General features: G+C 37.6%; 1 long non-coding RNA gene across 1 annotated transcript in view; it reads left to right on the plus strand.

Annotated features, from left to right (window-relative positions):
• The first annotated feature begins 305 nt into the window (after nucleotides 1-305).
• LINC02497 (long intergenic non-protein coding RNA 2497) overlaps nucleotides 306-25774 on the plus strand; it is a 40532-nt gene continuing 15063 nt past the window's right edge. The window contains exons 1-4 of the long non-coding RNA NR_125935.1: nucleotides 306-461; nucleotides 5783-5868; nucleotides 23611-23642; nucleotides 25516-25623. This is a non-coding gene — a long non-coding RNA (long intergenic non-protein coding RNA 2497). The remainder of the gene's footprint in view (nucleotides 462-5782; nucleotides 5869-23610; nucleotides 23643-25515; nucleotides 25624-25774) is intronic.

The raw sequence follows: 25774 nt of genomic DNA on the forward strand, positions 1-25774 counted from the left end.
TGAAGGTAGACGTCCTGTCATCAATATCTTCCTTTTCTCCCACGCAGCTAAGTAGAGCCCATTGATTAATACGCTGGCAATGATTCCGAACCTTGAGTAATTATGATACTTTCTTTATTGTTACATATAAGTGATGCTGCCACAATTGCTTAAGAAGTCAGATCTGGAACTTTTAGAAGGTACAGGTCTGCTTACCATTGAAAGAATCACTGTTTACTAATACGTCATTGATTTCGGTTCTGGATTCAGTTTAAAAAAATATTACACACGCAGATATATGTGTGGAAAGAAAGAATGGGAGAAAAAGTGAATAAAAACACCATGGAAAAATTAATTTGGTAATACGAAGCATGGGCTACATTTCCTGATTTCATTTTGTGATTTGATGTTAGTCAGTAAACCTGTGATTATATGCTACCCACAGTGAAGGTGAATTCCATATATCCAATGAAGTTTTTCAGGTAAAAATTTTATATATATATATATATATGTGTGTGTGTGTGTGTGTGTGCCTTTATTATGCTACAGTGAATTACTTGTAGATCACTTTCAAACATTGTGTAATATATATATTTATAAATTCAAATTAGTGTACTGAATTCATATTTATTTTAAACAAAAATAGCAATTGTAATACTTTAAAAATACACATACAAACAGCGAGCCACACACACCCCTACACACACACCCATCCACCCACACACACACATCCCCAACACCCACACATCCACCCCCACACACACACACACCCACCCCCTCCACCCACCCACACACGGATCCGATATTGATATGAATGGGACTAGCGTATTTCTGATTTTGGATTTTCTTGGATTGTGGGATATTTGCATTATGTATTTACTAATTAAGCACCCCAAATCCAAAACCTGAAATCTGAAATACTCCAATGAGCATTTCCCCTGAGTGTCCTGTTAGTGCTCAAACAGTTTCAGATTTTAGAACATTTCAGATTTCGTATTTTGGGATTTGGAATGCTAAACCTCTCTCTCTCTTTTTGTGTGTATACGTGTGTACAGTTTCACTTAATTCTTACTGTTTTACCTTTATTTTTCAGATGAGTAAGCAAAACTTTATAATGTTATATAATTACTGAGTCACTCCAGTAAAGAGCTGTAGACCAAGGGTTTTAATTCAGGTTTTCTAATACATGCGACAAATTCTAGCTTAAACCTTATTTTTCTTCTTTTAGCACCGCACATAGAACACCTAGTTAACACACAGAGAGATGAACATTTTGCTTCATATCAAAGGAATAAATTCTCATGTAATTATCAAATAAGACATCACTCTTCAATTAATTATAGTGAAGTTGCATTGTAGTTGCATTATAGTTGCCTTTTACTTATAATAATTAAATTACGAAATAACGCTCCTCTCACACACATGCATATACAGGAGGGGCAGAAAATACCTTTTAAATGGTGCAGCTTACTTTATTCAATATTTCACTCAAAAAAAAAAAGTTCCAGAATTAGCATGAAACTAGCATATAAAGTTACTTTTCCATTACTTGGCTTTAGTTCCTACGTATGTCCCACAGTGTGAACTGATCACTATATTCAGTGGTTTCTAGTACAGTCATACATCACATAACTACATTTTGTATATGACAGTAGTCCCATAAGATTATATCGGAGCTGAAAAATTTCTGTCACCTGGTGATGTCACAGCTGTTCTAAGATCATAGCAGAACACATTACAGACATGTATATGGTGATACTGGTATAAATAAACCCACTATGCTGCCAGTCTTTTTTTTTTTAATGAGACAGAGTCTCGCTCTGTTGCCCAGGCTGGAGTGCAATGGCACCATCTTGGCTTACTGCAATCTGTGCCTACCGGGTTTGAGCAATTCTTCTGCCTCAGCCTCCCGAGTAGCTGGGATTACAGGCAGCTGCCACCATGCCTGGTTAATTTTTGTATTTTTGTAGAGATGGGGTTTCATCTCCTTGCCAGGCTGGTCTTGAACTCCTGACCTCAGGTGATCTGCCCGCCTCGGCCTCAAAAATGCTGGGATTACAGGCATGAGCCACCATGCCAGGTCAATCCTGCCAGTCTTTTAAAAATATCGTGCATACAGTTATAGGTAGTACATACACTTAATAATGGTAATGAACAACTATCTAACATTATTGGTTTATGTATTTACTATACTATACTTTTTTAGAGTGTACTCCTTTTACTTATAAAAAAAAAAAGTTAACTGTAAAACAGCCTCAGGCAGGTCCTTCAGAAAGTATTTCAGAAGTAAGCATTGTTATCTTAGGAGATGACAGCTCCATGAGTGTTACTGCCCATGAAGACCTCTCAGTGGGACAAGATGTGGAGGTGGAAGACAGTGATACTTATGATCCTGACCCTGTGTGGGCCTAGGTTTTAGCAAAAACCTAGGTGTTTTTGTTTGTGTTTGTGTCCTAGCTTTTAGCAAAAAAGTTTACTAAGTAAAAAATAAATTTAAAAATTTAAATATAGAAAAAGCTTATAGAATAAGGATATGAAGAAGGAAAATAGTTTTTGTACAAATGTACAATGTGTTTGTGTTTTAAGCTAAGTGTTATTTTTTGTTTGTTTCTGTTCCCAGAGCTGGCTTTCACTTTCTTTTTCTTTTCTTTTCTACTTCCAACTTTTATTTTAAGTTCAGGAACACATGTGCAGGATGTGCAGGTTTGTACATAGGTAAATGTTTGCCATGATGGTTTGCTGCACAGATCACCTCATCAGCCAGGTATTAAGCCCAGCATCCACTAGCTATTCTTTCTAATCCTCCCCCTCCTCTCACTCTCCACTCTGTGAAAGGCCCCACTGTGTGTTGCTCCCCCACCATATGTGCATATGTTCTCACCATTTTGCTCCCACTTATAAGTGAGAACATGTGGTATTTGGTTTTCTGTTCCTGTGTTAGTTTGATATGGAAAATGGCCTCCAGCTCCATCCATGTCCCTGCAAAGGGCATGCTCTTGTTCCTTTCTATGGCTGCATAGTATTCTATTGTGTGTATGTACTATATTTTCTTTATCCAGTCAATCATTGGTGGGCATTTGGGTTGAGTCCATGTCTTTGCTACTGTGGATAGTCCTGAAATGAATATACACATGCCTGTGTCTTTATAATAAAAAGATTTCCATTTCTTTGGATATATACCCAGCAATGGGATTGCTGGGTCAAATGGTGTTTCTGCCTCTAGATCTTTGAGGAATTGCCACACTGTTTTCCACAATGGTTGAACTAATTTACACTTTATGAACAGTGTAAGAGCATATTTTTTTCTTTACAACTTCACCAGAATCTGTTGTTTTCTGATTTTTTTAATAACACCCATTCTAACTGGGGTGAGATGATATTTCATTGTGGTTTTGATTTGCATTTCTCAAATGCTCAGTGATGTTTATTGGCCACATGTATGTCTTCTTTTGAGAAGTGTCTGTTCATGTCCTTTGCCCAGTTTTAATGGGGTTGTTTTGCTTTTGTAAATCTTATTAAGCTCCTTATAGATGCTGGATATTAGACCTTTGTCAGATGCATAGATGGCAAAAATGTTCTCTTATTCTGTAGGTGGTCTGTTTACTCTGTTAGTAGTTTCTTTTGCTGTGCAGAAGCTCTTTAGTTTAATTAGATCCCATCTGTCAATTTTTGCTTTTGTTGCGATGGCTTTTGGCATCTTCATCATGAAATCTTTGCCTATGCCTATGTCCTGAATGGTATTGCCTAGATTTTCTTCTAGGGTTTTCATAGTTTTGGGTTTTACATTTAAGTCCTTGATCCATCTTGAGTTTTGTATATGGTGTATGGAAGGGGTCCAGTTTGAATTTTCTGCATATGGCTGGCCAGTTCTCCCAGCACCATTTGCTAAATAGAGAATTTGTTCCCTATTGCTGGTTTTTGTCAGGTTTGTCAAAGATCAGTTGGTTGTAGGTGTGTGGTCTTATTTCTGAGATCTCCATTCTGTTCCATTGGTCTATGTGTCTGTTCTTGTACCAGTACCATGCCGTTTTGGTTACTGTAGCCCTGCAGTATAAAGTCAAGTAGCATGATGTCTCTAGCTTTGTTCTTTTTTAAGCTGTGTTATTACAACAGATTCAAAAAGTTTTAAAGTAAAAAGTTTAGGAAGTAAAAAAGTTACAATAAGCAGATTATTATCGAATAAAGAAAAAACATATATATATATATATTTTGAGATGGAGCCTTTCTCTGTCCCCCAGGCTGGAGTGGGGACATTTAAGTCCTTGATCCATTTAAGTGGTGTGACTTTGGCTCACTGCCACCTCCACCTCCAGGGTTCAAACAATTCTCCGGCCTCAGCCTCCTGAGTAGCTGGGACTACAGATGCACACCACCACACCCAGCTAATTTTTTGTACTCTTGGTACAGATGGGGTTTCACCATGTTGGCCAGGCCGGCCTTGAACTCCTGACCTCAAGTGATCTGCCTGCCTCGGCCTCCCAAAGTGCTGAAATTACAGGTGTAATCTTACCACACTCAGCCAAGAAAAATATTTTAAAATAAATTTAGTGTAGCCTAAGAGTGCAGTGTTTATAAAGTCCACAGTAATGTACAGTAATGGCCTAGGCCTTCACACTCAACCGCCACTCACCTACTGACTCACCCAGAGCAACTTCCTGTCCTGCAAGCCCCATTCATGGTAAGTGCCCTATGCAGGGGTACTTTTTTAAATCTTTTCCATCATGTTTTTATTGTACCTTTTCTATGTCTAGAAATGTTTAGATACACAAATTCTGTCACATTGACTACAGTGTTCAGCATAGTAACTTGCTATACTGATTTGTAGCCCAGGAGCAATAGTCTTTATCATATAGCCTAGGTGTGTAGTAGGCTATACCATCAAGGTTTATGTAGTACACGTTATCATGTTTGCACAATGACAAAATTGCCTAAGAACACATTTCTCAGAATGTACGTACATGATTGTATTTAGGAATATGTATTTTTGACAATGTGGCCCCAGGTACAATCCAACTACTCTGCCTGGTGCTCAACTTAATGAAACCATAGTATGTTCTAATGATGGAAGATACACCTTTTACCTGCATGCTGATTTGAACTTACTGAGAAGAAATGTTTGAGAATTATTATTGACCAGATGTGACTACATATATATATATTTATGTTTTTGTTTTTTTATTGGTTTACTTTATAATCTTTCTATAGAAAACCAGCATAATTACCAATCTGTAGCTCGTAGGAGGGCATTAACTGCAGATCACTTATGAGGTATAAAGATAAAATAATTCAACTTAGTTTTTGTCAAACTTGTTAGTGCATTTATAGACAAATGTGAACTAGTTTCTGAAAATTTGGCTTCTATTCATTTATTTCAAAAATCATATATTCAGTTTTTCTCTAATTTCTACTTTTGCAATATCTTTGAAGCTTGCCCAAATTGTTGAAATTCAATTAATTTTGGCATATGGCCATCCTTAGCAAGTAGACTTGGTTTCTAGCAATAGGCCAAATTAATTTCATGTAAGTGATAGGCACTTAAATTGGCAAAAGTATTTCAGACAAAATATGCTCTGTCTCTAACGTAAGAAGACTGCTTCCCTCCTAGGGCTCATCATCTAGCTCTGAGAGTGAGTCAAAGGAATTAATTCCAAAATATTTATCAGAACTTCATTGGAATTAGTAAATAAATATGATGACCACTTTGGAAAAGAAAACACATATTTGGATATGATCATTTTCATACAATTTTTTAATCTTTACTCTCTAGTAGTCAAATCTTCTTTACTTTTACTTTTACTTTTAGAAAACATCTTAGCTTCTTACAGAAGAAGAAGCATGAAATGGCTTTTCACCTCCACCTGTATGCTGTTTCTAAGCTCATGAAGCTAGGTAAGGCAATTATCTTCTCTCTCCCCATATTATTCTATTTCCTTTCTTTCTTTTTTTTTTTTTTTTTTTTTGAGACAGGGTCTCAATCTGTCACCGAGGCTGGAGTGCAGTGGCACGATCTTGGCTCACTGCAACCTCGGCTTCCCAGGTCAAGCGATTCTCCTGCCTCAGCCTCCCAAGTAGCTGGGACTAGAGGCACCCACCACCAAGCCCAGCTAACTTTTTTTGTACTTTTAGTAGAGACAGGGTTTCACTGTGTTAGGCAGGATGGTCTCGATCTCCTGACCTCATGATCCGCCCGCCTCAGCCTTCCAAAGTGCTGGGATTACAGGTGTGAGCCACCACGCCTGGCCTTATTATTCCATTTTCTAAGAAAACCCTTGGTTTAGGAAATTGCTTGATATGACTCCTTTTTATTTATTTATTTTTATTGATTTTTTTTTTTTCTTCACCTCTCCAAAAGACATACCACAATGTGTCCTCAAGGGTCTTTATTACAGAGAATGTTCTTTGGTCATGCCTGACTGTACTATGACTGTTGGCATATAAAATTAAAATAGATCATAGAGATTAGGACTGGGATTTTGTTGGTGAAAGTGGGGTGCTTACCTCAGGTGCAAAGTTTAAGGGGCCAAAACATTCAGTAATTAAGATAAATAATATTTTAAAGCAATATATTAAGCAAATCAAAATCAGTGCAAAATATGAAGTGCAAAACACCAAATTTTACAAGACAAGCTGTTGTCTTTTTTGTTTGCTTTGCCAACCCGTGCTATTGTGCAAGGAAACAGTCCTTTATAATCAGCCTGAAGTCCTGGGCTGCATATATGTTGTATCCTTGCCGGGTGGGTTCATAAGGGTTGAAAATGATGTGGGAACAAATTGAACAATGTGAGCTTTAATATATAGTCACATTTTTTGAATGTAGAGTTGTTTATTTTTATTTTTATTTATTTATTTATTTTGAGAAGGAGTCTTGCTCTGTCGCCCAGGCTTGAGTGCAGTGGTGCGATCTTGGCTCACTCACTGCAAGCTCCGCCTTCTGGATTCACGCCATTCTCCTGCCTCAGCCTCCCGAGTAGCTGGGACAACAGGTGCCTGCCACCGCGCCTGGCTAATTTTTTGTATTTTTAGTAGAGACGGGGTTTCACCGTGTTAGCCAGGATGGTCTCGATCTACTGACCTCGTGATCTGCCCACCTTGGCCTCCCAAAGTGCTGGGATTACAGGCTTGAGCCACTGCCCCTGGCCTAGAAATTTTATTAATTTCTTCCACTTGACTCTAAACATGGAAGGACATTTTGATAAGTGTATGTAGGGGCATATGTTTCCCTTAGGCTCTAAAATTTTTCTCAGTTGCCTTTTGCCTTTTGCTACCAAACACTGGTAGAGAGTCACCCCTTTGGCCGCTGAAGGTTAGACGTGTGGTGTTCATTATCCTGCATTACATCCCAGAACAGACAGACAGTATTGCTGGTAGAAATCAACCTGAATATCTGTTAGACAAAAATCATATCATTTTCTTAGATTGGTACATTCTTTCAGAATAATGCAAAGATACATTAAGGGAAGAAATAACATCAAAGCGTAAATATCAAGAGATAAATACCATACTACACCATTTTAACTGAAAATTCTGCTAGTTCTTGGATATCTAAATAAGTTTTCTCTTTATTCAGTGTATGATCTGATTCAAATTATTTACAATTCAGGTATTTGTATCTAATGTGAGTCTTGTTTTGGCTGTTTCAATCTCAACTGGTTCTTCTTGTTATTTCTTGTATACTGTAAACAACATAACCAGTGTGATTAACACTAATTGAGAAATAGAAATGAAAATGGTTACTTGCTGAAAACAGTTTGGCTAATATGTATAATGACAACATTTTGCATTACAAGAATACTCAAATTGTAACCTTTGACTTTAGTTCTAAAATCTCTGAAGCATTTCAAAGAATAGAGTTTTGGACATAGATGAATATATAAATGTATGCTAGATAAAATGCGGTTGCGATCTGTATAGGAATATATGCTGTTTTATTAATATATTTACTAAAAGACATTATCATATAGTTGTTGAAGTATAGGCTTTAAAATTATACTTAAGATGTGAATCAATTCTGGCTTCAATTGTTAGCTGTGTAACCGTAAATAACTAATCTCCCCAGGGCTCAGTTTTCTCACTTGTAAAATGGAGAGAATATAATCCAGTTGGTAGGCTGGTTGGAAGACTTACATAAAACCCTATATGAAAGGTTTTTGACATCATATCAGGCAAACTGTAGATGTTTTCTAAATATTATCTATACACTATTACTTCTCTGATATTTTTCTGTTTCTTTAATGTCATATTATTGTTCATAGTTCTGCATTTTTAATACTCTTTTTACAAATAGCTTTCGCTATTTGTTATATTACTGGCATTCATAAATGTACATTAATTTTGATTTCTGAGAGGTTCTGAAATTCTCTGTGGGTTTTTTTCTTATTTCTGTACATATTGTCCCATTGGAATCCAAAATTACTGAAGTAAGCACCAGGTTTTTCTTTTGACACATTAAAGTATACTATGTGTTAAAGGCAAAATGGTCCCTCATTGTATTTTTTTAAAATGTAATTTGAATAAGCCTGCCTCAAAAATACAAGAGATATCTGCATCCAAAATATCAGTTTTGGAAAGGTAGCCAATATATTATTAACTGCTGAAAATAATTTTTTAAAATTATGTCTTATTCGTAAGATTAAAAATTAAAAAATTAGAAAAGTAAAAATACTCATGGGTAAGATTTTTCTGGTAATACTATTTTGACAGCTATCAATACAGGCAGAGAAAGGAAGTTGTCAGACTACTTATTATACAGGAAAAGATAATAAACTTTAGTATTGTGACTATAGAAGAGCTCATCCTTTGTTCTTTGATAAATCACTAAGAAAAAATGGCTAGGCTTGCAAATATTCCTAATCCTTGTCTTTTAAGATTATATCATTGATCACATTCAATTGTAAGTAACATTAAAAAATATTAGATTGGTGCACATGTAATTGTGGCTTTTGCCATTAAAAGTACCATGAAAAATATTTTTTCTTCCATGCAACAATTAGTTTGGAGGTGAAATATTGAAAATAATGGTTCAGCTATTCAGCAGCAGCATAAAGATCCCAGGATGGTTCCATCTTTCTACTCCACAATCCTCTGATCCCATTTTGGCCTTTTAGGTTAGGTTTGCTGCCTCTTGCTTACAAGAAGGCTGCCACAGCTCCAGATAACAAGACCTCCTTCTAAGACAGGGATATAAGCTACAAGCAGTAAGAGAGCTTCTCATGCAGGTTTCCTCTTTGTAAAATTATCTTTCCACAAAAACTCTAAGCAGATTTCTTCTTTATCACTTTCAGGAGAAATAGATAATGACCACTTCCTAAATGAAGAGGTTTAGGCCCACTTTCTGTAAGATAAAATAACTACTGCTTGATGGCTTAAGAAAATTAAGATCCTGTTAGCAGGAGAGTGGTATTTTAGTAACCATTGTGACTGCCACATAAGTTTACATACACACACACACACACACACACACACACACATATTTTATTCTCCAGGAAAAAGCAGGAGATTCACAAGAAAACAGTCATCTTTCTTCATACCAGCTTCTTATTTGTTTATTTGTTTCTAAAATGTTAGAATACTAATAAATCACAGTTAATGCTTCTTTGATCAGCTTTCAGTACATATCTGATTTTTTGAGGTAATTGTTATATCATTCCACATCCCACAAATAAATAAGGAAAATGAAGAGCAAAGAGAAAATGTAAGCAGGGGAATAAAATGAAGAATACATAAAATGCATGTCAGTATGCTAATCTCTTCTTGATGGTTGATCATGATGTTGCTTTAAGCTTCTTGTCAACTGACAGGAAGAAGAAAATAGATCAAGTCTAGATGTTCATAATATCTCTAATACAAAAATGAACTACCGGCTCAAAGGAAACATAACTACTCTGCAAAAGTCCAGAAGCACATTCCTTGTGGGTGCTGATAAAAAGAATAAGGTCTAACCCAGTGAAACACGGTTTCACTAAATAATTGCCCCATCTTTCATCAGCAATTTCTTATGAGGTCCTTTAATTTGGGCAACAGCATATTACCTAAGTGTAATTCAGCAACACAATTCTTGGTCAGGGGTCATAGACCTGGCAAATCCAGAAACAGGATAGAACCACTTGTAATAATCTTCCCTCTCCCCTTTGCACACTCAACATTATGAATGAGAATAATAGACACAGGAAATGTACAAGCAAATCTGTGTGGACTCCCAGTTGGCAACACATTTGGTCAGTTTTGGTGGCTTTATTGCTTCTAAAGTTTTCAAGGTCTCAACAAGCTAATATTTTTCTTAGTTCTGTGCTGGTGGGATTTCAGTATGCATGAAAGAACACTTAAAAAACATATTTGAGACAGAACACAGACCATAGATTCAAATATTATCAGAACAAACTAGGGTTGTCATTTAACTTACAATTTTTTAAAATTTACTTTCCTATTAATATCTCCTAAAAATCAAAGATTTCGGCCAGGTGTGGTGGCTCATGCCTGTAGTCCTAGCCCTTTGGGAGGCCGAGGCAGGTGGATCACAAGGTCGGGAGTTTGAGTCCAGCCTGGCCAACATGGTGAAACCCCGTCTCTACTAAAAATATGAAAAAATTAGCTGGGTGTGGTGGCGGGCTTCTGTAATCCCAGCTACTCAGGAGGCTGAGGCAGACAGTTGCTTGAACCCGGGAGGCGGAGGTTGCAGTGAGCCGAGATCGCGCCACTGCACTCCAGACTAGGCGACAGAGAGACACTTCGTCTCAAAAAAAAAAAAAATCAAATATTTCAGTCAGAAATATCCTGCTGAGCAGTAATGTGTCAAAAGATTACCTTTGGTCCTTGCCACTGACTTTTATGTCTATAAGTAATTAAATATTTAGGGAGTTAATTTATTTCCAACCATTAATTTTCATCTCAGGTTAAGTGGTTTGTCTGTTTGACTTCATTTCAAATTACCGGGACCTGAACTTAGACATCACTTAACAAAAGATAAAAATCTTAAGGGTCCAGGAGCCCCAATTATTCTTCTCTTCTACAGAGGTGACGTTTCAGGCTGTATAAAGAACAGCTTTTAAATATAACCTTTGAATCTTCCATGAGACACGTCAAGACAAAAGCAGACATCATTTATAAGATTAGAGAGATATCCTATTGTTTTTTGAAATAGCATTCATTTTCATATAATATGTGTATTATGTCTAACACTTTAAAATGATCTTTAAGTTTCATTTTTGTTTATTTGTATGGATTGTTCCTTTGAAAAATGTCATCAGTTGTTCACTTTACCATACAATGAACTCGACTTTTTAAAATTAAAACATTGTCAACTCTTTTGCTTATTTCCAAATTCACCTCGAAAACACTAACAAAAAAATTGAACATTTTAGATGAGATCTATGATTTGGTTAGCTTAGCAATTTAGATATGTGAATAGAAGCATGCATATTACTTTCAAAAGGTCACCAAAATTACAGGTGCAAAAATGCAGGTGCAAGTAATTAACCTCTTGAGCAAGCTATTGGCTGATTGCAGGTGCAATTAGTGAAACAGGAAAAAAGAAGGGATGGTCTTGTTGAAATTTAACCTCAAATTGTATGAGTTGTCAAACTACATTGTAAACACTTAAACTTGCTAAAATTTGGCTTTTGTAGCATTTGTCTTTTTTTTAATGGTAAAGAAATATTGTTTAAAAAATATCATGGCTATTTTTTAATAGTCTTCCTTTCAAATAAAATTTTAAATCCTTGAGAACAATGTCTCTCTATACCTGATCATAAGGCAAGTTGAAAAAAGAGTATAATTTGATACCTGGATCATTGCTTAATACCATGTTGAGAAAATCAGACTCAATAGACAAAACTCGTTTCTCACTTTTCCCAATCTCCTATAGTCAACTATTTGTTTTTCAAATGAAAATAACAATACAGGGACTTCCTAAAAGAGCAAAGCTGTGTAAATGGTTATCTATCCCCTTTCCTTCTAGGAATTAAAAAAAAAAAAAATCATTTGGTTGGGCGCGGTGGCTCACACCTGTAATCCTAGCACTTTGGGAGGCTGAGGTGGCTGAGGTAGGCGGATCACCTGAGATCTGGAGTTCCAGACCAACCTGACCAACATGGATAAACCCTGTCTCTACTAAAAACACAAAATTAGCTGGACATGCATTCCCAGCTACTTGGGAGGCTGAGGCAGCAGAATCGCTTGCCCCGGGGAGGGGGATGCTGCGGTGAGCCGAGATTGCGCCATTGCACTCCAGCCTGGGAAACAAGAATGAAACTCCATCTTTAAAAAAAAAAAAAAAAAAAATTAAACAAAACTAGAAAAAGATATATAATTCACAGACTTCAAAATAAAGCCTACTGCTAAGTAGGGCAAAAATGTGGAGCAAGATTTAATAAAAGTGAATTAAAAACATGAAGAGTGGGGAAAGCATGAAGATCTCAGAATATGCCAGCAAAACACACTTCCTGAATTTGAGGGCATGATCATGAAGTGAAAACACTAAATGTCGTGTAGACAATAATAGCGGAGGAAACTGAGGTAAAGAGGATCAGAAGGAAAAGGCTTCCTGGGCACAAAGTAATAGGAAAGGAGGAGGCAGAGCTCTGTGCAGTACAACTAAGTAACATTTGCAAGATGTTTCTTTGGCAAACCAAAAGCAGCTTTGTTTCAGGAAGTCTGGAAGGTGACCCTGCTGTTCAGCTTTTCCATATACTGTATGGGATTCTTCTGAAAAGGGCTAGTCAAGGAAAAGACAACTCATTTAATGAAGAGTACTAAGAAAAGTAAGTGTTGCAGGACTTTTACTTATTCAGCTAAAGACTGGGTTCTTTGTTCCACAGCCACGAAAATTCAGGCTCGCAGACAATTTAAATGGTGAGTGAGACATGGTTTTATTGGGTGAAAAGGAAGAAAAGGGGGAAACAGGGACTCTTGCGAGACCAGGGTCTCTCCGCTAGAGCACTTCCTGCCAGCAGCTTGAATCCCAGTTTCCACACATAAGAAAAAGAGGTGCCAGGCTCCTCCCTACTGCAAGCGACGTGAACTTCCTAAGGCTCCACCTCAGTGGGCAGGCTGGTTGGAGTTTCTCCAGGGACCACCTCCCACCTGGCTGTCTCAGTAGCAAGCACAGCATCAACACAAAGGTATAGTAAGTGAAAAAAGGATGTAGAATTATCAAAAAGGCAACACCATCTCACTCAAAATTTGTTTTAAGAGAGTAAATGAAAATTACAAACTAATATTTCACGAAGAATTAAAAAAATAATAATTAGCTCTTTGAAGAAAAACCAAGCAGCAAAGATGCAAAATCTCAAGAATGTGATGCTAGATAACAGTGTGTCCAGAATTGGTGGGTTCTTGGTCTCACTGACTTCAATAATGAAGCCGCAGACCCTCATGTGAGTGTTACAATTCTTGAAGGTGGTGCGTCAGGAGTTTGTTCCTTCTGATGTTTGGATATGTTCGTAGTTTTTTCCTTCTGGTGGGTTCGTGGTCTCACTGGCCTCCGGAGTGAAGTTGCAGATCTTCGCACTGAGTGTTACAGCTCATAAAGGCAGTGCAGACCCAATGAGTGAGCAGCAGCAAGATTTATTGCAAAGCCTGAAAAAACAAAGGTGCCACATGGTGGAAGAGAACTTCAGCAGGTTGCCACTGTTGGCTCTGGCAGCCTGCTTTTATTCCCTTATCTGGCCCCACCCACATCCTGCCGATTGGTTCATTCTACAGAGAGCTGATTGGTCCGTTTTGACAGGATGCTGATTGGTGTGTTTACAATCTCTGAGCTAGACACAAAAGTTCTCCAAGTCCCCACTAGATTAGCTAGACACAGAGCACTGATTGGTGCATTTACAAACCTTGAGCTAGACACAGAGTGCTGATTGGTGTATTTACGATCCCTTAGCTAGACATAAAGGTTCTCCAAGTCCCCACTAGATTAGCTAGACACAGAGCACTGATTGGTGCATTTACAAACCTTGAGCTAGACACAGGGTGCTGATTGATTTGTTTACAAACCTTGAGATAGACACAGAGTGCTGACTGGTGTATTTACAATCCCTTAGCTAGACATAAAGGTTCTCCAAGTCCCCACTAGACTCAGGAGCTCAGCTGGCTTCACCTAGTGGATCCCGCTCCGGGGCTGCAGGTGGAGCTGCCCACCAGTCCCGCGCCGTGAGCCTGCACTCCTCAGCCCTTGGGTGGTCGACAGGCCTGGGCACCATGAAGCAGGGGGCGGCACTCGTTGGGGAGCCTCCGGCTGTTCAGGAGCCCACGGCGGGGCGGAGGCTGGGGCATGGTGGGCTGCAGGTCCCGAGCCCTGCCCCATGGTGGGGCAGCTGTGGCCCAGCGAGAATTCAAGTGCAGCGCCAGCGGGCTGGCACTGCTGGGGGACCGGGGCACCCTCTGCCGCTGCTGGCCCAGGTGCTAAGCCCCTCACTGCCTGGGGCCGGCGGCACCAGCTGGCTGGCCACTCTGAGTGTGTGGCCCGCTGAGCCCACACCCACCTGGAATTCATGCTGGCCCGTGAGCGCCATGCGCAGCCTGGGTTCCCACCTGCGCCTCTCCCTCCACACCTCCCTGCAAGCAGAGGGAGCCGGCTCCAGTCTCGGCCAGCCCAGAGAGGGGCTCCCACAGGGCAGCAGCAGGCTGAAGGGCTCCTCAAGCGTGGCCAGAGTGGACGCCAAGGCCAAGGAGGCACCGAGAGTGAGCAAGGGCTGCGAGGGCTGCCAGCACGCTGTCACCTCTCAATAGGATGAGATGAAACAAAAGTGGTAACGTTGCGATGAAAGGTAAGAAACAAACTCATTACAAAAATAAAGTGAAGGATTGAGGAGCATGAAGAAAAATTGTAATACAGGTTGAAAAGAAATAAAAAGTGCTGTAACAAAGGGAGCGAGAAGAAAAAACATAGTGACAGGAGATAAAGGAGGTTCAACATAAGCACAACTGTAGTACCCAGATTAAAAAACAAAAATATGATTTAATTATAGTTTGCTTAGAGTGTAAAAATATGTGAGGATAAAACTGATGATGTATTTCAAGAAAAACAAAACAAAACTTTAAAAGCATATTGTGAGGATAGACCACGTGTGAGGAATAATTGACACAGAATGGTCAACATCAAGATACATCTTAAACAAAAACAACAACAATAGTGACTTAACAAAACAAGAATTTTAAGGGAGAAGGTTAAAGCTAGCCTATTTCCCTACATCAAAATCCAACCAAAAATAAGAGAGAAGCAATTTCTATGTGACACTTAAGGAGAAAGAGTATGAACTGAGAACTTTATATTCAGCCAAAGTCTTTCCAGGACTAGTGAACATAGTTTTATGTCTATAAGTAATATAGAAGAATCCAAGGAAGAGTTTACCCTTGAGCCACACTTCAGTAAAATAGTAGAGAAATTAATTTTAGATAGCCAGGAAAGAACTGGAGAAACAATAGTAAAAGTTCTGACAGCAGATATTAAATATTTTTAACAGTATACCTAAGACTAAAATAAATGTGATGGAACAAAATGTAAACAGTGTATGCCTTATTAATGAGCATTAATGAACACCTCCATCCACGGCATTATTCTCATCCATGGACTTCTTACTTCCCAGTACTGGTAGCTGCTGTATTCAGCAGTAATCTTATTGAAAATCACCTTTCCTTTATCTATGTCAACAAGGCGTTCTGATAATCTAGCACATACTAATATGATAACAGGGTAGGCCTAGAAGGGCACAACTGGGTTATATGTACAATACTCATTTAAAGCTTCTAGGAAAAAACATTCCTTTTCTTTTTTTCTCTTTAGTTTTGTTTTTGTTTTCCCTACGAGATTACTAAAGAGGAGGATTTCAGGCCAATTGGGAAAAAACATAATTAATAACAGGTGTAATTTTGGTGTGTATATTAGTCTGTTTCATGCTGCTGATAAAGACATACCTGAAACTGGGTAATTTATAAAGAAAAAGAGGTTTAATGGACTCACAGTTCCACATGGCTGGGGAGACCTAATGATCATGGTGGAAGGCGAAAGGCACCTCTTACACAGCAGCAGACAAGAGAGAATTTGTGCAGGGAAACTACCCCTTATAAAACCATCAGATCTCATGAGACTTATTCTCTATCCTGAGAACAGAACCGGAAAGACCCAACCCCGTGATTTAATTATCTCCTGCTGGGTCTCTCACACAACACATGGGAATTCTGGGAGCTATAATTCAAGATGTAATTTGGGTGGGGACACAGCCAAACTGTATTAGTGTAAACATCAAATTAAACCAATTGGTCTCGTTCAGTCCAATACTCAATGCATTGGTACATCTCAGGACACTGGCATTAATAGGATCCTTACAACCTTATAAGGTAGTGGATTACCTGCTCAATGACTCATATTAATAGAAAGCCTTCATAATAAAATGTGATCAGTTTCACAGTGATTTTAATCTATGATCCCTAGGTCTATTCTTTGGCCCTTCAAAACAAAAGACCCTCCACAGAATAACTCTTCAAATATTCAAAGGAAGGTCTCATGGTTTTTTTCTTTTCCCAACTGGTATCCTGTGCCTTTTCTTTCTTTGCTCTCCTTTTTTTGGTTTTAATTTCTGAAAAATTAGTTTCACTAATTTTGCAAACTTGAGAATGCATATATCCTTACATTTAATGAAATTTGATTTGTTCTATTTTTGCTAATTTGGCTTCAGAGGAATTTTATACTGCAATTTCATAGAACCATGAAAAATTGGTTTATGTGAAAAAATGCTAATGTATTTATGCATGCCTTTCTAATAAAACTAATTTCCATTTGTATGCTTTAAACATATGTCAATGACCAGATCAATAGAAATGTTATCACTCTAGTTTATTCTCCACTAAAATCCTTGAAATTTGCAGCCAATTAACAAAATAGAAAGCAAAACATCTCTATAGGTCTAAATTTGCTTTAGGATATAAAATCAAGAAACAAAGAAGTACTGATGTCACCAGCTTACAGCTAGTAGAAATAAACATTAATGAAGAGGAACTTTATTCTAACCAGATCTTGGAAATGCTCTTAAAATTGCATTTATAAAAGACAGGAAGGAATTATGTTATTAGATTTAGAAGTTTTACAATAAAATAATCTATTATACATTTTAATGTATCCTTAGTTCTTCCGCCAGATTACATGGTATATGTTTTCAAAAATCACTTCTGTACTTTGAAATGTCTACATTTAATGTCTTAAGGTTGTCAACAGTTTTACATTAGATGCAGTTCTTCTAAAAGTAAATTGTATTTATGGGAAACGGGAAAGCTATCATGTGATATGAAATGCCTGGGCAGTGAGAGTTAAGCCCTACAAAGGGAAGATTTCCTCGTTTCTAAGGGTGTGGTACCAGCTACTTGGTTGGTCAGAGGCCTGGCTGGAGGCCACAGATTTTCAAAGAGAAAGGGAAACAAAGAGATACTACTAGACATTATAGTCAGACAAACAATACAGTACATCCCACCGTCTCTAGTAGTGCTTTTTTCTTTTTCTTTTTTTAACTCGTACCCAAAAACTAGGAAAGAAAACGGAAAACTTCTTTAAAAAGCTGCTACAGCTTATCATTGGGAAATCTTTGGGATATCGTTTTAGAAGGCTAAGGAGACCGATGACAGGAACTCAAGAAAAAGGAAAAACAAGGGGGAAAAGAAATGGCTTTGGCTTTGGGAGACTTGGAAAAATACAACAATACAGTATCACTGATACTCCTGAGTATGGAGACAGCAAAAGTCACGGGGGATTTCACTGATATGTGCTAGAAGGACACTTATATTACTAACTCTTAAATATTCTGGTATAAAAATGGATGGCATTTATCTAGCCGGACAAAAAAGACTAAGCCAATCTTTGGACCTTATGCAGATTCACACTTACTCTCATTACTGAACCCTCAATGCAAAGTCAAAGAAGAAACAAAATTATTTTTAATGATCTAGGAGACAAAAGGCAATCAGTAACCATCTCTCAAGGAATTTATAAATTTAATTTAACAAGGAGTTTACAAATATTTAATCTATACAGACTTTTTTTTTTTTTTTAGGTGGAGTCTGGCTCTGTTGACAAGGCTGTGGTGCGATCTCGGCTCACTGCAATCGCCTCCCGAGTTCAAGTGATTCTCCTGCCTCAGCTTCCTGAGTAGCTGGGACTATAGGTGGGCACCACCTCGCCCAGCTATTTTATTTTGGTATTTTTCATAGAGACAGGGTTTCACCATGTTGGCCAGGCTAGTCTTTAACTCCTGACCTCAAGTGATCTGCCCAACTCTGCCTTCCAAAGTGCTGGGATTACAGGTGTGAGCCACTGCCCACAGCCCTAATCTATATAGATTAATCCGTTATGAAAATATCAAAATTGTTCTTGGGAAATGTTGATTCACTCATTCGTGTATTCATCCATTTATCCAAATATTTATTTGAGCAATTAAATTGTTTCAAATATTCCAAGCACTAGAACTTGTTTTGTAAGTCATGTGTTCTTTTGAATACCATTTAGTGGCATATGTTAATTTTGAAATAAATATAGAAATTCCTTCACCTGGGTTCAAATGTCATAATACTGTAATTTGATCCAATAAAGGATTAAACTCAAGTCAATGAGTCTGTACCTCTATTTAATTTTCCTAGTTAGGTAAAAGCATTGGACTCTTAAATATCGACTATGGCATTAAATAATTGTTTTTACATTAAATTTTCCACTTTTTCTCACATAAACAGAAGTATAGTGTAAAGAGATCACAGAAGATATGAGGTAAGGTCATCTAAGGCAACCACAAAGATGGTGTTCTGATATGAGAAATTAATAATATAATAATTTTGAAGAAAAGAATAAGTTAATCAACTGTAAAGTTATTTTGCTATAAAGACCCCTAGCATTGTAGTCAAGATATTAGAATTCTACTAGAGCAATCCTACTTATCTAACCATATCTATTGTGTTCTTAGTCATTTTACAGAGTCCTATTTAATAAAATAGTCCTTTTAATAATAATAAAAGAACTAACATTCTTTCTTAGCCCTTTAGTAATGTATGTTTAATAATAATAAAGATATCCCTGAAGTGTGAGCTGGGCAAAAAATGTGCCCAATTAGCGAATACATTTCTCAGAATCTTTTGCACAGAGCTACATATACCATGTGACTACCTTCTGGCCAAAGAAATGTGAGAAGTGACAGATAACAATTGGTATACACTTTCCAATTCTTTATTTTCCTGTCCCACTGGCTGGGAGTTGGTGACAACTGGAGAATCTACTTTTCACTCAGAAATGAATGCTGTAAGTTAAAGATGACAGAACCTATAAAACAACCCTGGACCACACCTCTGTTTTGTTATCTCAAAGAGAAATTTATTCAAATCATTTTGTTTTGGTTTCCTTATTACCGCAGCTCAGTGTATCCCTTAACTAATGTAAAACTCAACTCTGCATTATCTGGCTTTTGGAATGTTGAAAAAAATATTTAATTTCTTTGGGTTTCAGTGGGCTAGATGTACTGTGAGGACTTTTCCAGCTTTGAATGTTCATGAGACTAAAACTGCAGTTGGTTATGCTGCAATAGAAAACCACTGGTATTTCGTACCACAACAGCCCTATCCTCACATTACCTGGAGGGTCAAATTAATTTAGCAAGATAATTGTATTAATATTTTTTGGAAAGCAAAAGTTCTCCTTCAAAGTCTACTCTTTTCAGCCCTCACTGCCTAAGGCTCATTCTTTGAAGCTGTATGACATTAACATACCTCAGGTTATAACCACTAATTGCCCCTTCACCTACATAAAATGGGTGATAAGAATAGGAAAAGATCCAGAAAAAAAAAAAAAAGCAACCTGAAGAAGAAAAAACATTAGTGGAGAAATGTGGAGAAAAAGGTAGGCAGTAAGCCCTTTTTTCCTTGGAAATGAGAGAGAACAAAAGAGCAAATTTAAAATTTGTAGAGAATCTCTGGTCTGACACACTTAAGAAAGAGCAAATTCACAGTGGATGGCTGAGCATATTGTTCATTTTCAATAGAGCTGTTAGAGACTATTGAGACCAATTGATTACAGTATATTACTAATGAGGCCAAAGTTCAGTCCCCATGTGGGGCCAGTTTACTGTGCCCTATTCCACACCCACACAGCATGCCCCTAACTTTGGCCAGCTGTCTCTAAAATGCATGCTCTTTGTCACAAATGGGACCAGGTGTATATGAATCCATGAAAATTTATTGTCACCACCAGGAAAAATTCTCAAGGCAGATGGTGGGTCAGTAATGTCACTTGAGTGTATGAAGGACGACATGTGTTCTCGTACTGAAAAGTAAAGTGGAGATTTGTCAGTTATACAATTGTACTGTAATTGAATATTTGAGCCAGAAACCCAAGTGGGTTTAGTTTAGACAGTCAACATGAGGGTTTATGTCATTTACTAGAGAAACTACCACTTCAGGGTCTCAAAGATTTTGGTGATCCAAGAGAGACTCTGGTCTTTTGTGTAACAGTTGGGAGTGGTAGAAATGGTGATAAATCAGACAGTTCATGCTCCATCCAATGTGACCAAAAAATACAGTACTGAGTACATTTACCAACCTCCTGAAATATATGGGCCTGTTATCCAGAGGAATCAAAAAACACATTGTGGATGGGTCTTAAATGCCTGATGATACAACAAAATATATTGATTTTATGAAAAACAATTATAATACTTTATACTTTTTATTATAATTATGTGTTTTAATATATATCCTATCACTAGATGTTGAGTTCCACAAAGAGAGCACAATGCCTTTTTCATCCTTCCAATACCAGAGTGTAATATGGCATATAGCACCTCATATACAAATGGTGAAAGCTTTTCTAATGCATGTCTATAGTGTAAACACTAAATGTGTAACAGTCTCAATTGTCCATATCAATTTCACTTGCATAAACATATTTAAGTTCTAGTGTGTTAAAAATTTATTAGTATAAATAGATATAATCCGATATGCAAAAGCATATTCTCAATAGTAGAGGACACAAAAGTTCACTTAATCTATATAAATTACAACAATGGAAAAATAAATCTTCAGTCTTACTTTAACTAGACTTTACTGTGGTAGTTAAATGGACTTCAGTTTTTGGTGTACATATAAACAGAATCGTTAGGGGAAGTATTTGCTTAGTTGCTGGATTTTATGCAAACGAAAGCAGATGAGGGTAAAACAGAAATAAACAGTAATTAAATTACACAGAAATTTCGGGATGAAATAAAACAATTCTTTACAGTTTCTAGGTAATGGCAAAAGTGTTTCTGGCAAGAAAAGCATAATTAACAGCAGTGTTAAAGCTTTGCTTTAGATTCATTTGGCAATTGAGTCTACTAAGTTGAAAGCTGTTAAGTAGAGTATTTGAGTTTCATATTAATTTGCATTTCACTTGACTGCTTCTTAGTGTTTTGTAAGCATGAAACAGAGAGGTCTGGGTTCAACACAACAAATTACCGTTCAAAATAAAAAATTACTACCCAAGCAGCTTTGTGTTTCTGCTAGGTTTGTCATGCTGTGACTAAAAATAGTAAAAAAAAAAAAAAGAAAAAAAGAAAGGAAAAAGAAGCGTTGATTCTTTAGAGGCATTTCAGCACCAGATTTGCGCTATCAAAAATAGTCCTCAAACATAGTTAGAGTTATCTAGAAATTCAGCAGTTTGCAAACAAGTGCACTAGGGAGTAGTTTTTTCACACTAAAATATTTTTGCTACACATCAGCAAGTCCTTGAGGAGAGCCTGCTGGCTCCAAAGGCCTGAAGTTTGCTGTTGAAATAGCAGAGCAATAATATTTAGCCAGTGCTAACAGGGAAGCAGTGATATGACTGCTCTTTATAGTGATAACTACATTTGACAAAGAATGGTACAGCACTGGGATTACAGAACATGACTTTGTTTTAATACTTCTTAATATTATTTTTGGAAGTGTTAAGTATACATGTCACCTATTCTTTTCATAGGCATTGATCACAAATATAGAAAGAAGACTACTCATTTCCAAAACCAATTAATCCTATTGTGTGAGTAGATGTGTATTTGTGCTTGTGTATTTGTGATGTGGTTTGGCTGTGTCCCCACCCAAATCTCATCTTGAATTGTAGCTCCCATTATTACTATGTGTCGGGGGAGGGACCCAGTGGGAGTTAATTGAATCATGAGGGCATGTCTTTCCTGTGCTGACCTCATGATAGTGAGTGAGTCTCATGAGATCTGATGGTTTTATAAAGGGGAGTTCCCCTGAACACGCTCTCTTGCCTGCTGCCATGCAAGACGTGACTTTGCTCCTCCTTTGCCTTCTGCCATAATTGTGAGGTCTCCCCAGCTATGTGGAACTGTGAGTCCATTAACCCTCTTCCTTTATAAATTCCCCAGTCTCTGGTGTGTCTTTATTATCAGCATGAGAACAGACTAATATGATTCGTGTGTATGGAGATGTATGTATTTACCATCAATTCTGTTATGGTTAACAATTGGCAATAGTTATATCAGAAGCATAGAGAATCTTGCTATAGGTAAGCATGTGATTGCTTGGCTCTATTAGTTTTCGGCACTGTGGAAAACTGTGTTATTTCAAGTAGCTTACAAGGACACACAAAAAAACCAAAAATGTGTTATTTCATAATGTTCTTTAAGTTATTAAAATATTTCAGCTTGCTTCTTTCTGTATCAGCTTCCTTCTATATGTTAACATAGACTTCCGTAATTATATGCTAATCTAATTAGTTCATATGCCTATGATGTAAGCTAAAATATTTTAATGTTGCTTGACTCCTGACCCTTTCATTTTAATATTCTTATATTTTTCACTAAAAACCTGAAAGAGGACAGATATGTAAAAAACACAGCTTTAATAAGCAAGAGGATAGCAACTCTTTATTGAAGGAGCTTTCCTATTGGCAGCCATCCAGATGGCAAATAAAGCTGTTTAAATATTTGCTCATTAGTGAAATGAAATGATATCAGTTTAATTCATTCCCATTTCATGTTTTCAATGCTTCAAAGCAACTTTATAATACACACTCTAAAGGTTTCTCTGGAGCTCTTGTGCAGTGATTCATTTTCTTTTTCTCTCTAAGTAGATATAAATTAACGAAGTTATACAGAATAAGGTGTTGGGCTTCTCCTAAAATCTTCCTAGTCATTTCTTTGAGAGTTTTGCTGTAAATTTTAGGACTGCAAAAATCACACAACATGGGCCCTTAGCAGGACTCAGGGGCTGAGATATGTTAATGAAAGATACTGAAGATGTCAGGTAGCTGGTGTATTCCAACACTATTTAGGGAGGCTCAGGGCCTATCGCACTAGAAGAAGCTGCTGTGTAACACTAGGTTATCTTGAGACATTCAGACAGGGAGATAAAATGCATATTAATCCCTAAGGATAAACGGTCTTTCCTGTTGTATTGGATAAGCATTTGTTTTGTCACATTTAGCCTAATTGTGGGCAAATCGAGAGAAATTAGTGTTGAATTATTGTGGGGAGGGAAGAAAAACGGGAGGCTGTAAGAGTGGTAGATCGTGTCCATTGCATTTTGATTATACATACAGTTCTGTCCTCTAATCCACCTTTACTGAGGTATCTGCATTTAGGTGGCCATTAATAAAGTTGACATTTTCATTCTCTTCTCTTTTTTGCCTAGGATTTGCCATGGGGAACCTAGAGAGCAAGAGGGTGAGTAATTGACATCTCCAAATCCCAACAAGAATCAGAATCTTTCATGTTAAGTTCCTTCAGGTTAAAGACTTTCTATTATTTTTGTATTATTTCCTGTATAATGTCCAGCGCTATATTAGGTAAAATAAATATTATGTACCTATTTCTTGAATGAATGTCCCAGTGACTGTGAGGTTTTTACTTTCTGACTATTGCCCCAAATTGTCCTTTATTGTTTTTATTATTTTCTAAAAAGAAGCATAGCTAAAATAAGATCATAAGCCTTTAGAGGAAACAGAGTAAAAGAGTTTTTATTTAATCAACCAGATTCTGGGCCCCAACCCCATGCGTGTATCACCTGCTTTTACTTAATGTTTCCACAAAAAAATAAACAAACAAATCAATATGCTTATTACAATACAGGAACAATATTAGCCTTAGGGTATCACCACGGGTCATTGTTACTTCTAGCAAAAGGCAAGATTTGGAACAGAAATCCAAACAATTATCCATTCATTTTGAATGTGACCCTAACAAGTCTGCTTAGAGAAAGGTTAGATGAACTCTTATTTTCCTTTCAATTATGATTGCACAATGATAAATTTAGAGCCAAGGGGATTTTTGAAACATTGGCTAAATTCCCGTGCAAACAATACACTAAAAAAACGTGTTGAGATGACTCTAGAATCTGTGCCCACTTTTGTAAGATTAATTTTGTAAACACACAGTTGATAAATGCTCTTTCAGGGTCTCAAGTACTACGTATGGCAAACATGTTTTCAGTGGTTTAGATCTATATTAACTTATATGTCAATAATATTCTGTTTTTCATGAAGTCTGCCGCCTAATTATTGTCAGTCTTTTTTCTCAGTGAAAATTTAAGGATATTTTTAAGAGAGAGATTTGGAGTTTTTTTTTATTTGTTGTTTTTTTTTTTTTGTTGTTGTTGTTGTTTTGAAACAGTGTCTCTGTTGCCCAGGCTGGAGTGCAGCAGCATGATCTCAGCTCACTGCAACCTCCACCTCTCAGGTTCAAGCCTGCCTGTTAGAACGATTCTCCTGCCTCAGCCTCCTGAGCAGCTGGGATTACAGGTGCACGCCACCACGCCCGGCTAATTTTTATATTTTTAATAGAGATGGGGTTCCATCATGTTGGCCAGGGTGGTCTTGAACTCCTGACCTCATGTGATCTGCCCAGCTCAGCCTCCCAAAGTGCTGCGATTACAGGCTTGAGCCACCACACCCGTCCTAAAATACTTTTTTAAAATACTGAATTCACATCCTTCATAGATAGTGGAGGTTCCCCCTCATCTCCTGTGAGAATTTGTTTCACAACTGAGTTTTCATCTGGTACATTTTTCTGTAAGGTCTATATTGCTCACTGTGGTAGCCATCTCAAAAATGGCCCCCAGTGATAATGACCTCCTGATATTTACCCCCTTGTGTAGTCCCCTGAAAAACTATCAAGATTGGGCTATGTGGCCTGGCACAGTGGCTCACGCCTGTAATCCCAGCACTTTGGGAGGCCCAGATGGTCGGATCATTTGAGGTCAGGAGTTCGAGACCAGTCTGGACAACATGGTGAAACACCATCTCTACTAAAAAAAATACAAAAATTAGCTGAGTATGGTGGCACATGCCTGTAATCCCAGCTTCTTGGGAGACTGAGGAAGGAGAATCGCTTGAACCTGGGAAATGAAGGTTGCAATGAGCGGAGATTGCGTCACTGCACTCCAGCCTGGGTGACAGAGTGAGACTCCATCTCAAAACAAACAACAACAACAACAAACCCAAAACGAACAAACAAACAAATAAACCAAAAGATTGGGCTACATGACTAATAGGATATGGACAAGAGTAAATAAATTGCTGCTTCTGCTCTCTTTGCTTAGATTGCTCACTTAAGGGGAAACTAACTACCACGTTATGCAGCTCTACTGTAAAAATGCACAGGGTGAGAAACCAAGGCCTCCTTCTGACAGGAGCCACTTGCCGGTCATGTGAGTAAGCCATCATGGAGATAGGTCCGTGTTTATAACTGGTGTCATATGCCTGTCCCACTGCTGTATTTTGAAAGCAGGAAACTCATTTCTTGAGTGTTGCAGGTTCGCAGAGGAAGAATTGTGCCCCTGGATGAATTATACCTACAGC

The sequence above is a fragment of the Homo sapiens genome, chromosome 4 (assembly GCF_000001405.40).
Source record: "Homo sapiens chromosome 4, GRCh38.p14 Primary Assembly".
In the NCBI taxonomy this organism is placed as follows: domain Eukaryota; kingdom Metazoa; phylum Chordata; class Mammalia; order Primates; family Hominidae; genus Homo; species Homo sapiens.